This window comes from Homo sapiens, chromosome 1, assembly GCF_000001405.40.
Source record: "Homo sapiens chromosome 1, GRCh38.p14 Primary Assembly".
NCBI lineage: Eukaryota > Metazoa > Chordata > Mammalia > Primates > Hominidae > Homo > Homo sapiens.
Window position 1 is genome coordinate 37,157,838 of NC_000001.11, and position 24,338 is coordinate 37,182,175.

Below are 24,338 nucleotides of genomic sequence, written 5' to 3' on the forward strand. Positions count from 1 at the left end.
CCGGGAGAGGCTAGAAGAGAACAGCAAGTCCTCTTGGGCCACATTTCTGAATTGGTGACTTGCGACTTCATGGAAAGATGAGCCTTCCCCACGTGTACCCAAGAGAAACTGACCTGAAAGACACGTAAACAGTGGTCTCTGAGTACTTAAAAACAGCCAATGACAGACTAAGCCAAGAAAACCAAAGCCAACAGTTTGGAAGCTTTTATCTCCTTTCATTTTTCTACTTCATATCGGTTTGGCTTATTTTGTTTTCAACAAATACTTTTGAAAATCTCCTACAAAGAAGACACTCAGCTAATGCTATAAAGGAAATTATGGGGAGGAAATTAGGAGTGTAAGTCATAATCTCTTCCCTCAAGTCAGGGAAACTTAACAGAATCACATGACGAATTGGATCACTTTAAAAAGAGAGAGAGAATAGCACAATTCTAGACAAGACAATGTGATTCTTTGTTAAACGAGTGGTCAAGATGATGTAACCAACTGGCGCACAGGGGTGTAAGCAGATGAGAGGCATCACTGAGCTAGATGAGCAAGGAAGACTTGGAGCAAGAGGAGGAATTTGAATTGGGTTTTGAAGGACATGGCAAGAGCCAAACTAAACTGACTATGGGGATGGCTGGCCTGGGGAAGTGAGAGAAGGAGGGCTTTGCCCAGGGTTGGAGGCTCCTGGACAAAGGGCTAGGCAGGCACCCCTCAACAGATCCTCTCTGCAGGGAAGCTCCCACTTCGGGCTGTTGGAAAGTTCTCAGAACAGCAAGTTAAGACATAAGACTTAGGAGTTGGAAGGTGGGTTTGAGGGGACCACAGGCCCTGCTGGGCCCATGTCTGTTGCTCTTGCTGTAGGAGCAGCTGCTGGTCTCAGGAAAGCCATGTTTAGCTTTACGGCCACCTGAACATCTATAGGACCCTCTGTAGGAATGCCCAGTGCTGAGAACAAAATTGTTTTTAATTCCATTACCTACAGCCTTGAGGCTGCCACCTTCTACTCTTTGGGAAATTTGCTTCCATCACACACACACACATGCACACACACACACACACACACACACACACACATCAAACAAGCTAACAACAAAACACCTGTATATTTCCCTGTTGCATGAGTCAGAACCCACAACCCTCTCTAACTGATTTTAAGGAAAAAATCAATATATCAAACGTTGCCACATCACTCAGAATTTCAGGGAAGACTGGAGAGCTGGTTTTCTACATCGCCAGAAACAACATTCAAGTCATATGACTGGCCCATTTGTGGATATGGTCCTGCTGTTTCAGGCACAGGCACTGAAGCTTGCTTTGTGGGCCTGGAGCATGGAATACCCTTCCCAGGACATCACCGCTGCCTCCAAAAGTTTGATGGCTCTCTACCACCCTCCACCCCTTTGCCAACAGCTCAGCATTCACACAGAGCCTCCTGCCTCAAGGTGTCCTCTGCTGACTGGAAGGCTCTCATAGATGCAGCTGATTGGAGGAGCCCAGGTCACATGCCTACCAGTAGCTGCAAGGGAGGCTGGGAAAGTGAGTTCTGACTCCTGTCTTGGGGAGATGAGATTCATAATGGGGTAATTACCAGGGCAGCCATCCATCCTGGTGTCTTAGGAGAGTCTCAGGTTTTGTCTGTTGTTCCACATAATGATGAATAGCACCCTTTTTATTCTCAAACGTGTTTTGGTTTAGATCATCAATTATAGAGACACCTTAATAATTCTCAATAATAATTTTGGGGCTCATATGTCCTGTTTTCTCTCCTTTTCTTATTTTCTGCTCCTCCTACCCAAGCAGCACATACTGAATTTGCTAAAACCCTTCTATTGCAGAGCAAAAGGGAGGATATTCTCTGTGTTTTCAGGGAAAGCCCACAACAGACAATACATCAGAGGATTACATGTTCCTCCTAGAAGAAGAAGGACTTTTCCATGTGAGGTGAACAATCCAAATGAAAATTCAGGGAACAAATAAAAAGATGACTATAAGAACCTTCAGTTGGTCAGTTTACTTGGTGATATGGCTTGGCTCTGTGTCCCCACCCAAATCTCATCTTGAATTGCAACCCCCATAATCCCCACATATCAAGGGAGGGACCAGGTGGAGGTAATTGAATCATGAGGGTGATTTCCCCCATGCTAGTCTTTTGATAATAAGTGAGTCTCAAGAGATCTGATGGTTTTATAAGTGTATGGCATTTCCCCTGCTTGCACTTCTCCTTCCTGCCATCTTGTGAAGAAGGTGCCTTGCTTCCCTTTCACCTTCTGCCCTGATTGTAAATTTCCTGAGGCCTCCCCAGCCATGCTGAACTGTGAGTCAATTAAACCTCTCTCCTTTGTCAATTACCCGGTCTTGTGTATGTCTTTATTAGCAGTGTGAGAACAGACTAATACACTTGGAGGTCCAGGTTGGGGCCAGCTCATGGAGGGCCTTGAATGTCAAAAAAAAAAAAAAAAGACTTTGGACTTTGTCTCTGGGAAATAGTCATGTGGAAGGTCTCTGAATGGGGGAATAACCTGACCCAGTCCAGTTTACTTGAAAGAGCAAGAGTCAGACAGACCTGAGTTTAAATCACGATTCGTTGTGTGGAGTTAGGCATAGAGTGGAAAGTTGCTGAACCTCTTTGTGCTTCAAATTTATCATTTATAAAATGGAGAAACTAAAAGCTCCCTCTTGAGATTAATTGTAGAATAAATTAAAATTTAAAGCTCTTGGCACAGTATACAAATCCACAGTAGATATGTGACACGTGTTAGTTGTCTTAGCTGATGTCATGGCAGTATTTTGGGGAGCATCATAGAGCGAATGTATGCAGAGCAACAGGAAGAAGAGAGAGGCTGGAGGCAGGGAGGCCAGTGAAGAGGCAGCCAGGCAGGAGAGACCTGTGGATGAGCTACTAGGAACTGAGTGAGAGGACAGAGTCAGGCTAACTCTTCTTGCCTGGGTATTGTCAGGCCAGTGGTGACAACCTCAAAGTACAGCATGATGGCAGGCGGCTAGTTTAGAGAAATTTGTAAGAGAAAGATGAGACATTCATTGCAAGACATACAGGATTTAAAGGTTCAGACTGTCATCTAGGAGAGCTCTCCAGCAGAAAAGCTGAAGCTTAAAAATTGTCTGTCCAACCCCAGATCTTATAAGCTCAAAGAGAAAGTGTAATGAATAATAACAGGATGTGCATTGCTGCATGCTGGGACCAAGCCACAGAACCTGTCATTGGTGCAGGCAGGAAAGGCTAAATACACACCTGGATGGAAGAGACCTATTGGGGTCTTAAAGGGCAGAAAGGGACATTTTCGGCATTAAAGGAGGGTGACATGCTTGATTTGCAAGAAACAGAAAACCAATCAAGTTAGCTCACATAAAGAGGGCACATTATGAAAAAGATCTCACAGAACAAAAGCTCAGAAGTGCAGCTGAACCCGGACTTTCTCTGTTCATCCCCCAGGGCTGTGTAGACTCTTTTCTCTCTCTCTCACTGACATTCTTGCATGTTCTCCCTTTCTCCTGGTCAGCTTCTTCCATACGCTCACCCAATATCTGGTTTAGTCTAGTGCCCCTGCCCCTGATCTCACCTGGCTTTTCAACTTGAGAGCCTACCACCAACTAGGAGAGCAGTTTCTGTGTCTACTAGATTAAGTTCCCAGTAACTAGAAAAACTGGAATCTCCAGGAAAGCCTGTGGGAAAGGTGGGCCATGGAGCCATCTAATGTAAGAGGTCATTGAACTTTATAGAGCATCCTTCAGTGTTCAGAGATGGAGTCAGTATTGGTCTGGCCATTTTTAGGGCAAAGAGGCAGCATCATGCTGGAAGCAGTAGTCTGCAATGCTAGGATGTGACTCCCAAGCCCTTGGTCATACCCTCTACATTGTATATACAGCAAGCTTCAAGGTGCAGAGATAAGGACTTGGGAGCATGTTGAGGGATCTGTCATGAGGCTGGAGCACTGAATGCTTGGGTGTTGGGAGAACAAAAGATGAGCCTGGAGGGATCAGCAGGAGTCTCATCCTGCAGGAGGTGGAAATTCATCCTGATAGCAATGGGGAAGCCATGAAGTCTTTTCAAATAACATTTTTATTGAGCTGTAGTCTGCACACCATAAAATGTACCCTTTTAAAGTGTAACATTCAGTGATTCTTCAGTATGCCACAGAGTTGTGTAACCTATCTAATTTTAGAACATTTCATCATCACTTCCAAAAGAAATCCCATACTAATTAGCAGTCATTCCTCATTCCCCCTTGCTTGACAGTCCCTGGCAACCACTAACCCACTTTCTTTCTCAGTGGATTTGCCTATGCATGACATTTCATATACATGCAGTCATACAATGTGTGATCTTTTGTGACTGGCTTCTTTCCCTTAGCATAATGTTTTCAAGGTTCATCCATGTTGTAGTGTGTACTTCACTCCTTTTTATGGTTGTGTAATATTCCATTGTATTGATATACCACATTTTATTTATCCATTAATCAGTTGATGGTCATTTGTGTTGTTTCCACTTTTTGACTGTCATGAATAATGCTGCCATGAACACTTATGTACAAGCATTTGGGTGAAGATATGTCTTCATTTCTCTTGGATATATATCTAGGAGTGGAAATGTTCTATTATATTATAGAGTTAACTCTATGTTTAACTTTTTGAGGAACTACCAAATTGTTCAAAAGTGGCTGTACCATTTTACAATTTGATTAGCAATGTATCAGGGTTACAATTTCTGCATGTACTTGTCAATCTTTGTTATTATGTGTCTTTTTTATTTTAGCTATTCCAATGCATGTAAAGTGGTATCTCGTAGTGGTTTTAATTTGCATTTCCCTTATGACTGATTATATTAAGCATCTTTTCATGTGGTTATTGGACAATTGTATATCTTCTTTGGAGAAATTTCTGTTCAAATTATTTGCCCATTTTAAAAACTGAGTTACTTTCCTTTTTATTATTGAGTTGTAAGAGTTCTTTATATATCCTGAAAACAATACCCTTATCAGATATATAATTTGCATATATTTTCTCCCATTTTTGGATTTGTCTTTTCACTTTCTTGATGGTGTCGTTTGAAGCATGAAAGTTTTAATTTTGATGAAGTCCAGTTTGTCTATTTTTTGTTTGTTTTGTCACTTGTGCTTTTAGCGCCAAATCTAAGAATCCATTGTCCAATCCAAGGTTATAAAGATTTTCTCCTGCATTTTCTTCTACAAGTGTTATAGTTTTAGCTCCTATGTTTAGATCTTTGATCCATTTTTAGCTGATTTTTGTATATGATGTGAGGTAGGGTTCTACTTCTTTCTTTTTGGCAAGTGGCTATACAGTGTCCAGCATCATTTGTTGAAGACTATTCTTTCCTTCATTGAATTGTCTTGGCAACCTTGTTAATAATCAGTTGGCCATAGATGTATGGGTTTAATCTATCAACTCAATTCCATTCTATTGATATACATGTCTATCCTTATGCCAGCCCTGTACTGTCTTGATTACCGGGTTTTTTTTTTTTTTTTTGTAGTAAGTTTTGATATCAAGCAGTAAGAGTACTCATACTTTGTTATTGCCTTTCAAGATTATTTTGGTCATTCTGGGTCCCTTTACATTTCATATGAACTTTAGAATTAGCTTGTGAATTTCTACAAAGAAGTCAGCTTGTATTCTAACAGGGATTGCATTTAATCTGTGGATCAATCTGGGGAGTATTTCCAGCTTAACAAAGCTTCTGACCATGAATATGAAATGTCTTTCCATTTATCTAGGTCTTCTTTAACTTTTTCAACAATATTTTTCAACTGTATTGTTGGTTATACAAGTCTTGCACTCCTGTTAAATGTATTCCTGATAATTTTATACTATTTATGCTATTGTAAATAGAATAGTTTTCTTAATTTCATGTTTGGATTTTTTATTGATAGTATATAGAAATATAATTGACTTCTGTATATTAATCTTATATTCTGCAACCATACTGGACTTGTTCTAATAGTTTGTGTGTGTGTGTGTGTGTGTGTATTCCTTAGTATTTAGTATACATAAGATCATGTCACCTGCAAATAGACATAATTTTACTTCCTCCTTTCCAATCTGGGTGTCTTTTATTTCCCTTACTTGCCCAATTGCCCTGGCTAGAAACTCCATTACAATGTTAAATATAAATGGTAAGACTGAATATATTTGTCTTGCTCCTAATCTTTGAGGAAAAGCAATCAGTTTTTCACCAGTGTGTTAGCTGTGGGTTTTTTTCATAGATGAGTTTTATTAAGCTGAGGAAAATACCTTCCATTTTTATTTTATTGAGTGCTTTTATCTTGAAATGGAGTTGGATTTTGTCAAATACTTTTTCTGCATCTACTGAAACTATCATGTAGATTTTGTTCCTTTTTCTATTAATATGGTATATCATATTAGTTGTTTTTACAGATGTTAAAAGAACTTCACATTCCTGGAATAAATTCTACTTGGCAATGGCATACAATTATTTTTATATATTCCTTGATTCATTTCACCAGTATTTTGTTGAGAATTTTGTGTCTATATTAATAAGGACTATAGATTTATTTTCTTGTTATTTTTATCCGGTTTTGGTACTAGGGTAATACCGGGCTCATAGAATTCATTGGGAAGTGTTTCTTCCTCTTCTATTTCTTTGAAGGATTCATGAAAAATTGGTATTAATTCTTTACATGTTGGGTAGAATTCACTGGCAAAGACATCTGTGCCTGGGCTTTTCTTTGTTGGAATCTCTTATTATTGTTGTTTTGGTTTTTATTAATTCAATCTCTTGTAATAGATATATTCAGTTTTTTATATTTCTTCTTGAGCCAATTTCAGTAGTTTACATCTGTCTAGGAATTTGTTCATTTCATCTATATTACCTAATTTGTTGGCATACAGTTATTCATAGTATAGCAGATAATCCTTTTTATTTCTATAAGATCTGTAGTGATGTCACCTCTTTCATCTCTGATTTTAATAATTTGAGTCTTCTCTCTTTTTCTTGGACAGTTTTCCTAAAGGATTTGTCAATTTGTTGATATTTTTAAAAACTGACTTTTGGCTGGGCGTGGTGGCTCACGCCTGTAATCCCAGCACTTTGGGAGGCCAAGTCAGGCGGATCACAAGGTCAGGAGATCGAGACCATCCTGGCTAACACCGTGAAACCCTGTCTCTACTAAAAATACAAAAAATTAGCCTGGCATGGTGGCAGACTCCTGTAGTTCCAGCTACTCAGGAGGCTGAGGCAGGAGAATGGCATGAACCCAGGAGGTGGAGCTTGCAGTGAGCTGAGATCATGCCACTGCACTCCAGCCTGGGCGATACAGTGAGACTCCATCTCAAAAACAAAACAAAACAAAACAAACAAAAACTGACTTTTGGTTTTCATTAAATTTCTCTATTTTTTATTCTCTATTTTATTCATTTCTACTCTAATCTTTATTATTTTCTTCCTTTTGCTTGATTTTGGTTTACTTTTCTTTTACTAGTTTTGTAAGGTGGAAATGTAGGTCATTGATTTGAGATCTGCCTTTTTATTTAACATAGGTGCTGATAGCTATAAAGTTCTCTCAACACTGCTTTTGCTGTGTCCCATACATTTTGGTATATTGTGTTTACATTTTCATTTTCATTTATTTCAGAGTATTTTCTAACTACCTTGTGATTTTTTTCCTTTAATCCATTTTTTATTTAGGAATGTATTGTTTAATTTAAACGTATTTGTGAATTTCTCACTTTTTCTTCTGTTATTGATTTCTAATTTTATTCCGTAGTGGTCAAAGAGCATACTTTGCATAATTTTAATTCTTTTGAATTTATTGAGGCTTGTCTTATGGTCTAACATATGGTCTATCCTGGAGAATGTTTTATGTGCACTTGAGAAAAATGTGTATTCTGCATTATTAGGTGAAATATTCTGCATAGTGTCTGCTTTATAATGTTGTTCAAGTCTTCTATTTCCTTGTTGATCTTCAACCTTGTTGTTCCATTCATTATTGAAAGTGGAGTAGAAGTCTCCAACTATTATTATTGGATATTCTATGTCTCTCTCAATTCTATCAGGTTTTGCTTCACAGATGTTGGGGCCTTGCTAAGTGAATGTATATATTTAATTGTTATGCATTTCCAATAGATTTTTCATCATTATAAAATGTTCTTTGTCTCTAGTGACAGTTTTTAATCTTAAAGTCTACTTGTCTGATTAGTGTAGCCTCTTCAGCTCTTATTTGTTTACTCTGCACAGTATATTTTTCTTTATCTTTTTACTTTTAATCTATTTGTGTCTTTGAATCTAATGTGTGCCTCTTGTAGATAGCGTATAGTTGGATTATGAGTTTTTTTCTATTTTGCCTATCTCAGCCTTTTGATTGGAATGTTTAGTTCATTCACATTTAATGTAATTGCTGATAAGGTAGAAATTATATCTGATATTTGGTATTTGTTTTCTATATGGCATGGGTTTTTGTTGTTGTTATTGTTGTTGTTGTTCCTCTACCCTTCCATTACTGCCTTCATTTGTATACGCTAGATACTTTCTAGTGTATTATTTTAATTCTCTGTTGTTTCATTACCATGGTTTGTTTTTTAGTTCTTGTCTTAGTGGTTTCTCTGGGAGTTATAATTAACTTCTTAACTTAATTTAGTTTGGATAATGCCAACATAATTTCAATAATATGCAAAAAACTTTGTTCCAATATATCTTTGTTTCCTCCTCCTTTGTTGATTGTTATACAAATTAGGTCTTTATACATTATCAGCTCCTCAACACAATTTTATAATTACTGCTTTATGCAATTGTGTTTTAAGTGCAATAGGAAAAGAAAATCATTACAAACAAAAATGTACTTATACTATTTTTTTATACTTACCCATGTTACTGTTACTTGTGCTCTTTATTTCTTTGTGTGGATTCAAATGACTGCTTTGTCCTTTCATTTAAACTTCAGAGACTCTCATTAGTATCTTTTGTAGAGCAAGCCTGTTACCAACAAATTCTTGGTTTTTGTTTATCTGAAAATGTGTTAATACCTCCTTTGTTTTTGAGGCTTTTATTTGTTTTTGTTTTTTAACTTTAACTTCTGGGATACATGTGCTGAACATGCAGGTTTGTTACATAGATATACATGTGTCATGGTGGTTTGCTGCACCTATCAACCCGTCATCTAGGTTTTAAGCCCCACGTGCATTAGGTATTTGTCCTAATGCTCTCCATCCCCTTTTTTGCCCACCCCCTGCCAGGCCCTAGTGTGTGATGTTCCCCTTCCTGTGTCCATGTGTTCTCATTGTTCAACTCCCACTTATGAATGAGAAGATGCAGTGTTTGGTTTTCTGTTCCTGTGTTAGTTTGTTGAGGATGATGGTTTCCAGCTTCATCCATGAGCTGCAAAGGATATGAACTCATTCTTTTTTACCACGGCATGGTATTCCATGGTGTATATGTGCCACATTTTCTTTATCCAGATGGGCATTTGGGTTGGTTCCAAGTCTTTGCTATTGTAAAGAGTGCTGAAATAAACATACATGTGCATGTGTCCTTTATAGTAGAATGATTTATAATCCTTTGAGTATATACCCAGTAATGGGATTGCTGCGTCAGATGGTATTTCTGGTTCTAGATCCTTGAGGAATTGCCACACTGTCTTCCACAATGGTTGAATTAATTTACATTCCCATCAACAGTGTAAAAGTGTTCCTATTTCTCCACATCCTTGCCAGCATCTGTTGTTTCCGGCCTTTTTAATGATCACCATTCTAACTGGCAGGAGATAGTATCTCATTGTGGTTTTGATTTGCATTTCTCTAATGATCAGTGGTGATGAGCTGGAGTGTTTTGGTTAACCTTCTTTTTCTTTCAGCATCTTGAATATGTCATTACACAGCCTCTGGCTTCCCTGGTTTCTGATGAAGTGTCAGCTCTTAATCTTTTTGAGGATCTCTTGTATGTGATGAGTAATTTTCCTCTTGTTGATTTTAGGATTATCTTTTTGTCTTCAGCTTTTGACCATCTGACAATGATGCATTTAAGTGTGGATCTCTTTGACTTTATTCTACATGAAATGTATTGAGTTTCTTGAATGTGTAAAGTTTTTCATCAAATTTAGGACATTTTAGGCCATTATTTCTTCAAATATTCTTTTTGCATCTTTCTCTCTCTTCTCTCTTTCTCAGACTTCCATTATGCATATCTTAGTATGCTTCATGACATCCCATTGGTCTCTGAGGCTCTGCTCATTTTTTCCTTTTTTTCTGTTTCTCAGACTGGGTAACCTCAATTGACTTATTTTCAAGTTTGCTAGTCCTTTTTTCTGCCAGTTCAAACCTGCTGCTGAGATTATCTAGTAAAATTTTCACTTCAGTTTTCATACTTTTCAACTCCATAGTTGCTATTTGGTTCATATATATATGATATTTATATAATATTTATATATATATAAATATATATATATTTATATATATATAAATATATATATATAATATTTATCTGTTCAGTGATAGTCTCTATTTAGTGAGACATTGCTCTTATACTTTAATTATTTGGATGTCCTTTCTTTTAGTTCTAAAAACATTTGTCATAGTTAATCTAAAGTCTTTCTAGTAAGCCCAACATCTCAGCTTCCTCTTAAGAAACTTGGTGTAGTTTCTTATGACTACTTTTTTCCTTTATGTATGAGCCATATTTTCCTGTTTCTTTGCATGTTTCATAATTTTTGGTTGAAAACTAAACATTTTAAATAATATATTGTGGCAACTCTGAAAATCAGATTTCCCCCCTCCTCTGGATTTGTTGTTGTTATTGCTGTTTATTTAGTGACTTTTCTGATCTAATTCTATAAAGTCTGTAAAGTCTGCAGCCATTGAGGTCTCTGCTCAGTTACCTTAGTGATTATCTAATGATTGAACAGAGATTTCCTTAAACAACTTCAACCAGTACCAATAAGCCTCCCATCCTTTGCTGAGGGGGGCTCCATGTGTGGTTAAGACACACCTTCAGGGCTCTGAAAATTAATGACGCTGCCCAAGCCTTCATCTCCTGCTTGTGCAGAGTTCCAGGGTCAGAGGTGAGAGATTAGGGCATTCTCAGGTCTTTCTTGAGCGTGTGCACAGCCCTACACATATGGGCCTTCTAGATTCACAGGAATATTTCAGAGCACTTCAAAGCCCCCTTCAATATCTCATTCACCAGATATAAGCTTTTTGGCCAGCCTCTTGTTCACCCCAGCAGGTATCCCCAACTCAGTTAACTGTGTGATATTAAACAATTGCCTGTGATTGTTTTGAACAAATGATCTGCAGACAGAGTGTCTCACTGAACAAGCTTCTAGTTAGGTCAAATGAAGGCAAGCCTGTGATGGGGTTTTTCCAGGGAACTGCCAGACAGATCAAATAGTTACAATTCTTTTGAAATAAAACTTTTGTTTGAGGCTCTAAACCTGTTCTTCCCCATCCCATGATTGTTGGGCTAGTGGTTTTCACAGCTGTTGTGATTGTGAGGCTGCTGGTTTTCAAGGCTAACACAGCGCTAGGGACAGAGGCATGAGAATAAGACAAGTTGAAATGCCACAAAGCTCACTGCACTTGATGAAACCAAGCCATTTTTCTTGAATAAACACTCTTTTGATTGTTGTGAGCCTTTGATTAATTTCCAGAGTTCTAAAAATGTCGATTCTGACAGTGTTTCCAGTGTTCTCATTGCTTTCATGCAGGAGTAGATTGTTGAAGATTGTTCCTCTGCCATTCTGGAAGTGCTTCCTTTCCATGCAGGATTTTAACTGGGGCCCTTTTTGTTTGGATTGGTCCAATCACAGCATTGAGAACAGAGTGGAGGGATGAGGCAAGAGGCAAGAAGATAGTTAAGAGAACCATACTGGGGAGAAGTGGTGGTCACCAGGGCTTCCGAAAAGCGGATTGTCCAGGAGACTCATCTAAGGCACTTTTGAAAACTAAATTCTTTCCCCCAACCACTTAAGCACTTCAACTAGTCGTTGAAATAGGGCCCACGCTCCATCAGACATGTTGGTCCAGGGGGAAAGAGCCCAGACACAATGCAAGGAAGAGCAGAGGTTGCCTGCTTATCTCAGGGAAGCCAAAGATGACTTTACGAAAGAGGAGATTCAGGACCCCAATGGCAGGTAAAGTAGGCTGAGGGAGGGACAACGAGGGCTGACACAAGGGGAAGAGGGCCTGCGTGTTCCCTGGCCTCTGCCTCAGGGACAGCTGTGGGGGGGAACCAGAGCTTTGCCTTTTGGGATCCTCCAGAAACACAGATTCCACTGTGCTCCAGCCTCATCCACCCCTCCCCAGAGGCTGCCCTGTGTTCACTGTGTGCCTGCTAGAGCCCAGAAGCAGAGCCGAGTGCGGGGTGAAGTGGGCTGCTTTCTTCTTCATTCCTTTCTCTCCCAAGCAATTCTCCAAACAAGCTTTTGTATGTCCCAGATGTTCCCGCCTTTGTTCAGATTTAATCCTCCCTATTTATCCTCCCTCTGGTACCTGTTTATTATGTTCTATTTCTCTTCGGAAGCTGGGGCTCAGCGGATCTGCCACATCTGATATTATCTGCACTTGGGCAAACACAATCGTGCCTATGCCTTGTCAACCAGCTCTCGTCTGAAAGGGCTGGAGAAAGAGAAGAATTAAAATCAGCACCGCCAAGAACAGCAAGCCCAAAAAGATTTAAAAATAAACATGAAAGCTGCTTTAGGCCCCGTTTCGAGGCACTCGCAAAGCCCTTCAGTGGAGACACAATGGTGCTGGGTGCACCCATTCTCACTGCCTCATCCTCTGCAGCTGGAAAACATGTGGCTGTGGCTCTCGACTCCTCCTTGAAGAAGGAACCATGTCTCCTGCCAGAGCTGTGAGACAGTAACTCAGAGCTTCTTCTGCTCAGACTTAATATCTAGGAACATTACAGCTGTTCGAAACCAAAGCTTCAGGTCCCTGGCAGTGTTCCTGAGGCCAGCATGGGGAGTACTTAGTCATGGTGAGACAGGTATAAGAAAGGTTAGGATGCAGGCCTCCTGCTTCCCCTCTCCATCTCTTCCTCCCAGTGCACACTGCATACACAGGGGCTGCCAAATGGGAATGGAGAATCACAGCACCAGCAGAAGGAAAAGAAAGAAACTAAAGAAAAAGAGATTTCATTCCTTATTGCCGTTACCAGACAGATCTGTGGAGATGAACCAACCTGACCATATTGTCTCTAATCTGGAACTCTGAGGCCTCCCCTGGACCTGGAGCCATTAGGACCTGCCAGCCACACTTTTGGGTAAAAGACAGACAGGAGTTGAAGGCAGACAGGATCTGATTTTTCACTAGATTCTCAGTCCAAGCTGTCCAAATAAACCACAGGCAGGGCAAGTCTTGGAGACAAGTCACTCTCAAATGGCACCCCACGTGAGGGAGGCGTAAGAACCTTTTCTAATCCACACTCCTTTTCCCACCCCACACATCCTCGCCTTGTCCTGGGACAGAAGTGAAATGGGATTTCAAACTGATTTAGGGCCACCTCCATGCCAGAAACTATGGTCGTTCTGTAACCCACTGTGCACAAGCTTCCTTAAGCCTCATATCAACTCTCCAAGGCAGGTTTTAATATCTCTGCTGTGGAGATGAGTTAACCAAGACTTCGAGAGGTTACACAAGTTGCCTGAGATCACACATTTGAGAACTGGCAGTTCCAAATTTGAGCCCTGGTCTGTTGAATAAATATGTGGGGCCCATTTGAGCCCTGGTCTGTTTGGTCCAAAGCTAAAAGATGCCTAAGAATGTTCAGGGCACCAGGGCTCCCACTAGCCAGTCCCTTCAGGATTGCCCATCCCACGGGGGTGTGGGGTATACAGACATAGGTGCTCCTGCACTCTGCATGCCTTCCTGCAGGCACCACAAATGGCTTGTTTTATAGCCATGGCTGCAGTAGCAGCTTCAGGCGCTTTTGCCTTGCAGGATTGACATCAATCCTCATTCATATCAAACTCCTTCTGAAACATGCTCCAGTGGAGTGGAATTTTCTGCTAAATAAGGTGTTATTAACCCAGCTCCCAGCTCCTTGGGCCCGGGCTGAGCTCAGCAGTGGCGGCAGCCGCTCCGCGCTGATGAACCCACTTAAACACCAATTAATACGCACTGAGACACTGGCCCTGGCAGACCCTGTGACCCCCTGGGCTCCTCCTGGCTCCTCAGGCTGCAGCGCCTGGAACTCAGTCACATCTCCTGTGACTTTCATTCCAGCCCAGTTGCTGAGTAGTGATTGGATGCTTTATGGTCTGAGGATGAGAAGATAGAAGTGGGAGATAAAAAAGGTTGTTTTTTTTTTCTTTTTGCAGCTTCTTTCTTACCAGCTTCAGTTTCCAGAGCTTCTCAGGATGGGAAAGACAAAGAACAGGCCTATAAGAGAGAAAGAGGTGTAGCTCTGCCTTCCACCAGCACTCCCAGCAGCACACATGGATAACGGGGAGGTTCTGCAACAACACAGGTGACATGAGAAGTCTCCTGACTTTAGGGCAGGACTGCATCTCAACAAAATGCCATTCTAGTTCTAGTGCAGCTCAAAACAGGCTTTGACACCCCAAATCCAATCATTTTAACCACATACAAGTTAGGTTTATATAATTCTCAGAGTCTCAGCTCTTACAGCTGAAAGAGCCCCAGAGAGTCCCTGGTCTAAGCTCATTTTATAGCTGAGAAAACTCAGGACCAGAGAGGGAAAAGTCATGCCCAAGATCACACAGCTGGTAAGCAGCAAAGCCAAGGCTCATACCCAGATGTCACAATTGCCCACGCATGCTCTTTCTATTATCCTGTTTCTCTTCCTTCCAACAATACAAAAGCATCGCTGATAGCCAGAAAGTAATAACCACATTTACATGATTTCCCAGTCTACATACTGCAACGGATATCAAATTGTTCTTAAGTGATATGTTATTAAATAAGATCAGAGAATATAAAAATGGATTTCTGAAGGATGATAAATAAAAGTACACCACATTTATTCATTTGTCTTTTAGACACCAGCTTACTGGGCGGGCATCTGATATGCCTCAGGCTGGGTGTGGGTTCTAGAGGGATGAATGCATAGGAGGTGGTCTCTAGCCTCACCAAGCTTATAGTCTAGGGGTGAGGGGAACAGAAGAAAAAGCTCACATGCACACACACCACACATGCACATACAGACAATTGCAAATGGTGCTGAGCAGATCAGCGCTGTGAAGAAATAGGTGAGGGGTCCAGCAGAAAATCACAGGGCCAATTTATGTTTGTACGGTCACAGAAGGCTTCTCTGAGGAGGTGATATAAAAACTGAGACCTGAAGGATGGGAAAAGGCCGACTATACAATAAAGTGAGGAGAGGTGATTCAAGCAGAAGGAATCAAACTTGGATTTCTTATCATAAACAACAAAGTCAAAATATTTTAGAATTAATAGAAGCCTATTATTTCAGAGAGAGAAAAGCTATTTTATTTTCTCCCCTAATTGCTCTGCTTCTTGGAGATGGTGCTTATTGTTCAGCCTTTTTGTGTTGTTTGTCTGTATTTTTGTGCTGTTTCCTCCATTTGTGGCTGAGAAGGGCCTTTTCAGAGATTTGTAGAAGACTTCATTTCTCTTCCCAACCCCAAAATGATGGTGAGTGGAGTTGTTACACACACAGGCTCCATCTCTTCTTAACTGTGGGAGCTTGGGGAAGGCATTTCTTCTGTGAGCCTCAGTTTCTTCATCTGTATATATTGAGGATAACAAAAGCACACTATCAGAGAGCTGTGGTGTGGCTTAATTGAAATCATGTGTGTGAAGAACTTAGCACAGTGGAATTGGAACTTTGGAATTGTTCAATAAATGTTAGCCATTTGTTATGACTGTAAGCTACATGTATTCAGATTAAACTACCTTGTTTTATAAAAGTGTTGATGACATTTTCTTGCAACTTTCTTTCCATGCACATTGCAGCAAGAGCAGATCAGATCCCTTTGCGATTGTGACTGGGAGCCTGTGCTAAGAACTAGATGAGTCCTGGTAGGTGGAGCAGACTTAGGTGGGGTATGGGGAGGGCCTAATACCTGGGGCCAGAAATGAGATCTTATAAACTGGGGCCGGTATCCCTCAGGACAGAATCCCAGGGAAGGTGTCAGCCTTGGGAGAGATTACAGAATAAGGCAGAAGGAAGAATTCAAGAGAGGGAGGCCAGAGACAGGCTGGCAGAAGCCACAATTGCTGAGTTGGGCTTCTCAGGACTCTAGCACAAACAAGTAGAGACCAGAAGATTCTAGCCATTAGTGGGAAATCTAAACAGGGCCTTATTCTGGACCAGGGTGTGTGCCAAGGGGCCTGGGAGGCTGGGGACTGGCAGGCAGGGGGGCCCTCTGAGGGTAGTATTTCTACACATCAAAGAATTTCATCAGAACTTTTCCTGGTCTACCCACCTGGAAGGCTTTTCCATCTGTATCTGAAGAAACAATCATATCTGACAAGCAGACTTGGGAATCATCCAGAAGATCCCCAAAGACATTCACTTGGTCAGACGTGTTTTGATCTTCTCTCCCCATTGAATGATGCTTGGATTTTATCTTCTCTCTCCCTCTGGCTCCCCAGTTTGGTCCATAGCATCTCTCAGGACATGCCTGGGACCCACCCTAACTGCCTCCCAATATTTTGCCTCTTGGACCACGGACCAGACTCTAGGACTGCCAAAAGCATTGGCAGTTACCATCCCTCCTTCTCTGGCAGTACCCACATCCAGGCTGAAATGCTCCAAGTCCAACTCATTTGAGCTGCTCTCTCGAAGCCAAATGCAAGAAAGGCTTTTTTCATTAACTAGCTGGCCTGATTAGCATTTATTAGGGCTCCCCGCAGCAACTCTCTTAGCCTCCTCCTCCATATACTTACTAACCCCTGAGGCATCTCCACCAAGCTCTAGAGCTCCTTGGAACACCATTTGAGAATTGTTGCTTTGATCTAATGTTGTCACTCTACCTTTAGGGAAACTAAGTCCTACAGTCATGGTCTCAGCCTTAGCACAGTCTAGACCTCGTGTTTAAACCTGGCTCAAGGTTCGCACATGATAAGAACAGAAGACCAACTAGGGAGGCCTCCATTTTCATGCAGGGCTGCTCACCTTCTTTCTGCCTCTGCCTCCCCAAATCCCAAAGCTAGATTCCCTCATGGCCCTGCCTGCAGACCAACTAGCAGACAGGTCAATTCTGCAGTGAGATTCCAGATTCAGCCTTAGCATATCAGCTGGGAGACTTAACAATGAGTCACCGTACTGGTTGATCCTCACTTCCCCCCAGACCAACTCTGTTTCCTTTTCTAATCTGCTCCATGACCCGGGAATTTAACCTCACTGCTGGGTTCAGCCAATGGGAGTCATCAGCAGGGCAGAAGGAGAGGTTGGGTCATTTATTCTCTGCCCCCTTCTTGCTTTGGCACCATGTTTCTGGCAGTAGCTATACCCCTCTGTGGCTAACAGCTCTCCCCAGACCTCCTCCCTGGCTCCAGCTCTTACTGGGCCCTTTTTCTTTTTGATCCTCAGAGGAGTAGCAGCTCTCTGCTGCTGTGACTCTCGGGGTGATCATTTGTTGATTCCTGTTATTCTGCCTACACCTCTATAAGCAGTCCCTCCATCTACCTTTCTTCATTTGAATCACCTGGTGGGTATTCTGTTTCTTGCCAGGCATTGAATGATACAATCACTTTCCTCAGACTCAAGGTTCAATGTCCCAGCCGTGGTGGCTTACCTTAAGCTGTGTGTCTAAGCCTCATGCTGCACTCCCAGAGATAAGATTCTCTACAGGAACTTGGGCCTGCGTGTGTTTGACATATAGGCTCCCCTGCCCTGTCTCTGGTAGCCCTGTCACTTCCCAGCCCTGGCCTTGTCCTGATGAGAGGCTTTGCCTGGTCTCCAGCCTGTACTCTGGCCTCTCCTCATGTTGTCAAGGCCAGAGCCAGCCTCATGTCCTTGTGTTCTGGCCTCCATGCTGGCCTTGGCTCAGACATACTCCCTCTTGTGTACTTTCCATACCCTTTGATGACCCTGCCCATGGACTCTTCAACCAGTGCCCCAGGGCATGTCCAAGGTATTCCCTCTGGCTATCTTGGCTTTCTGCCCTTCCCAAGGATTCTGGGCCATGCTCAGTGACCAGAGGTGCATCTGCCTGAGGTCTTTCTTATCTCTCCAGCACACTCTGGGGCAGGGCTCTGGCTAGGCTTCCCCCAGCCTGTGTCACTCCCTGACTCACTCACTTAGCAGAGAGTCTCTGAGCATCTCCTGTGTACCAGGCCCAGCCTTATGTGGCACACAGGGTTCCTAAGTCCATCAGACCTGGCCCCCTGCCCTCAGAAAGCTCACAGTCTAGAGGGGAAAGGTCTAAAGGCACATCATTACCTTGGAGAATGACAAGCACCCTAAGGTCCAATGGGAGGAGGCTGGAGAGTGCTAAAGCTCGTCTGGAAAGTTTACAGAAAGCTTCCTTAGGGAGGTGATGTCTCTGCTGAGGCTCAAAGATCTGGTGGATAAGAGTGGCCTGGACTAGAGTGGGCACAGTTGTAGGTGGCAGATGAAATGCTCCAGAAGTGGCTAACAAGAGGCTATTGGTGACATGTCTGCCCTTGAGGGCAGGGTAGGAGAGCTAATCAAGGTGGCTGTCAGGTCATTTAGGTGGGTGGATGGGAGAGGTGCCAGCCTCTGAGAATAGGATCACAGAAGGAGGAGTGGATGTGGGGAGCAGCTAGGGGTGGGAGCAGCTATGGGTGGGCGCAGCAATGGTGAACTCAGTTCTGAAGTGCCTTGGGAATGTTCCTGGAGGGACTTGGGACACAGGGAGAGAGCTGGGAGTCAAAACCTCCATGTGAAAGCTAAAGCAGGGAATAAGAAGTGCTGCTGAGAGAGGAAGAAAGGCTGAGCACAGAGCTGATGGACACCAACATTTAAGAAAGAAGGTTTTGGAAAGAATGAGAAGGGGTGGTAAGAGAAGTGAGAGGGAAAACAGGAGAGGTTGCTGTATGGAAACCAAGGGAAGAAGGGTCTCAGGAGGGGGCAGTCAGCATGGGAGGGTGACTGGCACAGAGGGCTCGTGCAATATGGAATCACAATGGCAAGATCCTGGCTCCTCCACTTGCCGTGTGTATAACCTTGGACGGCAGTTCAAGTGGGAGACTCAGTTCCCACTACGTAAAAGCAAACAACAGTGGTGCCTTTTGGGGTGGTTCCATTCACATGAGCATGTTGTGAAGCATCTAGCACAGTGCATGCCACACTTAACATGTTCAACAGATAGTAGCTACGCCTCTGAGCATTAATTCACTCAGAGAACACTCAGGTGCACGCATGAAATGATCCTTCCTACAGAAGATGCTGAAACAAGATGAGGTCTAGTCTCAAAAAGAAAATTACATCAATCACTGAATCCATGGGAACAAGTGCCAAGTGGCATAAAAAGGAACCAGAGAGTGGCTGCAAGCGTCCTCAGGAGGCAAAAACCCTGCTGTCGCCATAGTTTGGGCTTGGAAAGCTGCAGACACGGAACTTGCCGTGGAGGAGAGACCCATGAGCCAGGACTGGAAGAACATCCAGGAGGAGGGAACAGCCTGAGCAAAGGCCCAGAGGGAGGAACTTGCACCTTCATAAGAGACTCTTGGGGCTCCCTGCTGCCCTCTGGTGCCAGGCTCAAGGGTAAATGGCTCCTTGTCTGGGCGACAAATTCACAACAGCAGCAGCTTCCAGCCCTGCACTCCACGTCACCAACAGGGGGATGTGATCATTAGGTGATTATATTTTCAAGGCCCAAATTGTTTTATTTGTTTCCCTGCCAGCTTTCATGAGGCCATCAGTCATTCCCCACACAGATAACATTTCTTATGTACATTGACAGAATAAATTACATGGTTCTCATCCGGCAAATCCACATTACAGGGGAACGTTATCTTTTGCAAAACGCTGCCCGGGCACATCATAAATCCTAACCAGGTTTATTACATCTGTCTTGTCATAGATTCATTTTATTGAGAAGTGGGCTTTTTTTTCCAGATTAATAATCACATTAATAGATGAGATTCTTTTTAGAGGATTCTTTTATTGGAGAAACCAAAGGAAGAATTTCATGGCTGCAGAGCATGGCCACACTAGTGGCTGGTGCTGTAAGACTGTCCTTGTCATGCTGACAATATCCTCCAGGATTGGGAACTGGGAACTCCTGACTCACCAGGGACTTTGGGCCAGCTCATGATCCCTTCTTTGCCTCTTATTTCAGAGCTCTTTCCAAAGAACAAATCCAGAAGCTTCCAAGATGGGATCAAAGATGTATTGGGATATTAAACCAATCAAATTAATATTTAATGAGTAACTAGCATGTGTGCAACTGACAAATCAATGAAGGAAAGAACGTTAACCCACTTGGAACAAGAAGAGAAGAATTCAGCACAGAGTCCTCAGAATTGGGCTTCCTTCCTGCCTGCCCCCCTTCAGTAGGTGGCTCAAGCGCCTGAGGTAGGTAGCCTGCTAGCTCTGAGATTCTTTCTCCTCTTTTTGTTAAGTGAGAAGATTGGTCTAGATTAGGGGTTGGAAAACTATGGCTGAAGGATAAAAACAAGCCCATCACCTGTTTTAGTAAATGAGATTTTATTGGAACATAGCCTCTCCCATTTGTGTATTGTCTATGGCTGATTTTGCACAATGGCAGAGCTGAATAGCTACAACAGAGACCTTCTAGCCTGCACAGCCTGAAATGTTTACTCTCTGGCTCTCTACAGAAGAAGTTTGCTGGCCTCTGGTCTAAATAAACTTCAGGTGGACACAGATCCCACAATTTGCAGCCAAGTTGTGGGATCTGTGCTGAAGTGCTTTAACATTGATTTGAGTCCATTGTGCTAAATGCTTTTCTTGCATCATCTTATTTAATTCTGGTTCTATTCTACAAATAAGGAAACTGAGGCTTTAAGTGATCCAGTGACTCTTCTAAAATCACCAAGAGGCAGAGGCAGAGTCAAGCTAGGAATTCAGGCCTGTCCAGTGCCAAAATCCCTTCTTTCCTTTCCAGGAAATGGCCAGGGTACCATGGAGATGTTAATTAGTGAGAATTGGGGAGACAGGAGGAAACTTCCTAGGGGACCTCAAATTTGGCACTTAAGATGTGGAAGTGTGGAGAGAAAGGGGGAGGAACTCCCGGCAGTGGGAGCCCAGGAGAAGAGGAGGGGGCTGTTATGCATCACAGGGCTGGGCCCTGGTGTAGCAGTGAGAGAATGACTTCCACCTGCGGGCTGCCATGATGGGCATGGCCTCATTTAAGGCTTACAGATGAACTCTAAGGTGGGTACTTCTACAGTCTCCACTCAACAGATATAGGAAAGAAGCCCAGAGAGGTAACCGCCAGCCCAAAGTCACACAGTGGGTGAGTAGTATTTCTTCTTCACTTATGTGGTTTTGGCAAGTTCTTTGCACCGTATCAGGCAGTCTCACCTGGAGTAAGAGAGAGAGCTGGTGGGACAATTTTGGGATAAAAAAAAAAAAAAAGTAAGATCACTTCAGCCATGGGGCAGGTGGCATCAGAGTGGCAGAACCCAAGGGGAAGGCAAAACTCAGAAGCCAATTGGAGGTTGTTAAGTTGGCTGAGTGCACCTGTCTGGGAATCATCTCTCGGACCTCTTCTCTGTTCAAATCAGGGAAGACTTTGTGTCTGAAAAAGGGTGCTTCTCCCCTGCAATAGAAAGAGCTGGGGACCTGGACCCACCCATGCCTCTTGCCTGACCCCCAGTCTGCTCCACTTCTCCACTGTGACTTCTCACAGACGGCCCTAGCATCCCCACTATGGCACAGTCCTCATCTTCCCCCCAAAGCCTGTTCCTCACGTTAGTAAAATACAGCCCCAGCTTCCCAGATGCTCAGAAAGAAAACTTTAGCCATCCCTGACTTATTTTTCTCACACTTAATATCCAATCCACTAGTAAACGCTGTTGGCTTTTCTTTCAAAATATAAATAGTATCTTATCAATTCTCCCCACTTCTGCTGCTACCGACTGGGCCCAAGACCACCATTATCTCTTGCACCAACTGGTCTGCCCACCTTGGCCCTGCTGTCCTACTCAGCCAGAGAGGTCCACTTAACAGGCAGCTTCTTGGCTCAAAACCCTCCAATTCCTCATTTTTCACTAGCCTAAAGCCCACATCCACATAATGACCAGAAAGGCCTCGCACACTCAGGCTGCAGTTACCCTCTGACTCAAGGCCTCTCTTCTCCCCTCCATCACTCTGCTCAGCCACATCACCCCCTGCCCACACAGTGCCCACCTCCCACCTTGCTGCACACCCCCAGGATAAACCCTCTCCTTGCTGCCTTCATGAATACTGTCCATGAGTTGCGCAGCCCGGCAACTCCATGCCTCTGGATGCTTGTACTAGCTGTTCCCTTCTCCTCAGATGCCCTTCCACAAGATATCCGTGGGCTGGATCCCTCAGCCCCTTCACAGTTTCACTCAGAAGTCATTCTCAGTGAGCCCTTCCTACCGGTTTATGCAAAATTCCAACCTCCACATCACCCTCTGCCTTCCCAGTCTGCTGCATTACTTTCCTCTATCATTCACCTCCATCAGGCTGTTTGTTTATTGCTCATTGGCTCTCCACTAGAATGTAAGCTCCACCAGGGCAGGGGTCTTATCTGTTTTATTCACTGCTAAATCTTGAGTACCTAGAATAAGTCCTGGCATATATATAATAATATATATTAGCCCACATGAGCTTGGCAAATATATAGAAGTCTAATAAATTTTAACACTGTTCCACCACAGGTAAGATGTGGTTCTTTGGACAAGGTATTTTATTGCTCTAAAACTGTATCTTCATATATTAAATGGGGGTAAAATAGTTAAATAGCAGTACTTTCCCCAATACATATTATCAGGAATGATTGAAAAACAAAGCAAAGCTAAAATGAAGAAATGTAACATGCCTGGTTCAGAGTTTAGCACAGAGCCTCTCACAGGGTAGGTTCTGGGAGATGTGTTGTTCCCCCTTTTTTTTTTTGAAAGAGTCTTGCTCTGTCACCCAGGCTGGAGTGCAGTGGTGCGATCTCAGCTCACTGCAACCTCCACCTCCCTGGTTCAAGCGATTCTCCTGTCTCAACCTCCCAAGTAGCTGGGATTACAGACGCCCACCACCATGCCCAGCTAATTTTTGTATTTTTAGTGGAGACAGGGTTTCACCATATTGGCCAGGCTCCTATATTTTTAAGGACAATCACCAAAGCCAAATAAACCTGCATCATGAGACCAAGACTGAGACTGCATCTGTTAGGCTCTGGTGTCCAACCATGGCAAGAAACTCAGTTCCACAACCTACTAACAATGTAACAGAGGAATGTTCCATCATCTTGCACCTCAGTTTGCTCAGCTGTAAAATGGGTGATAATAAAACTGATTTTATAGAGTTGTTTTAGGGACTGAATGAGGGAAAGCACAAAAAGATGGTTAGCATAGGGCTTGGCCCACGTGAGCTTGGTGAATGTTAGTGATGGTGAGGATGGTGATGACAATCCCCAAGGAGGCTGCCTGGGAAGGAGGTGCCCTCCAATCCCTGGCCTCTCAGCAGGGAATAGGTTGCTGATGAGTCAGGCCTGAGCACATTAATGTGCAAAGTCTCTCTCCCTCTTTTTTTCTTTTTAGCACAAAAATCTCTCCTAGCACCTCTCATTATCCACTTCATCAGTCTCAAACCGTCGGCTAATTGCACTCCCCAGCAGCCCCTCCCTCCCTGCCTCTTCAACAAGCTCAATAGGACACAGCTGCCTCCCTCTTTGGGGCTCCCCTGGGGAGTTATAAACAAAATGTATCAGGCAATGCCCTGCCTGCCTTCTCTGGGCTCCCCTATTGCGCCCCTGCTCCTCTCCTACCTCCCCACGCCCCAGGAGAATGGCCACAGGACAGCCAAGGGCAGTGGGGTGGGTGGAAAAGGGAGGTGGAGCTGCAACAAGATTTCATGGTTTACTCTGGCTCATAGGTCTGCAAGATTCTAACTCCTAACTGGCTGTGATCCTCGAGAAAGGGAAACACAGGAGGTGAGTTTGACATTCACCCCACCTTCCTGCCAGTGGGCCCTTTCCAAACCTGGAGCACAGATTTGGAGAGAAAAGAGGTCTTACTGCATGAAGGAATCAGAGACTAGAGTGTGAGGCAGCTGGAATTTGTGAAGCAGGTTGCAGGACAGTTGGAAGATGCATAGAGAAGGAGCACCAGGAATATATATAGTATTTGCCCTGTTAGTAAGCCATGCATGGACAGGGTGAGACTGTGCTGCCTGGCAGAGAACAGCTCCTAGCCTGCAGTGAGCCAAACTACTTTGTTAGAGATCACACAGTGCTGGGAGATAGTGGAGTTATGACCAGCCAGAG

At 43.1% G+C, this 24,338-nt stretch overlaps 1 non-coding gene across 1 annotated transcript, besides 2 other annotated features; it reads left to right on the top strand.

Annotated features, from left to right (window-relative positions):
• Nucleotides 1-3,725: 3,725 nt before the first annotated feature.
• Nucleotides 3,726-3,797, top strand: MIR4255 (microRNA 4255). Its single transcript, NR_036217.1, has one exon. It is a non-coding gene; the product is annotated as a microRNA 4255 (primary transcript).
• Nucleotides 15,918-16,087: an enhancer, noted in NCBI's record as "experimental_7709 CRE fragment used in MPRA reporter constructs". NCBI's record gives its function as "activates a minimal promoter by MPRAs in K562 erythroleukemia cells, with activity observed for the non-introgressed 1:37639441 or rs74703550 variant allele {active_cell/tissue: K562}" and the evidence as "EXISTENCE:reporter gene assay evidence [ECO:0000049][PMID:34662402]".
• Nucleotide 16,003: a transcriptional cis regulatory region, noted in NCBI's record as "Neanderthal adaptively introgressed variant 1:37639441 (GRCh37/hg19 assembly coordinates) or rs74703550 in the experimental_7709 CRE". NCBI's record gives its function as "modulates activity of the experimental_7709 enhancer by MPRAs in K562 erythroleukemia cells {active_cell/tissue: K562}" and the evidence as "EXISTENCE:reporter gene assay evidence [ECO:0000049][PMID:34662402]".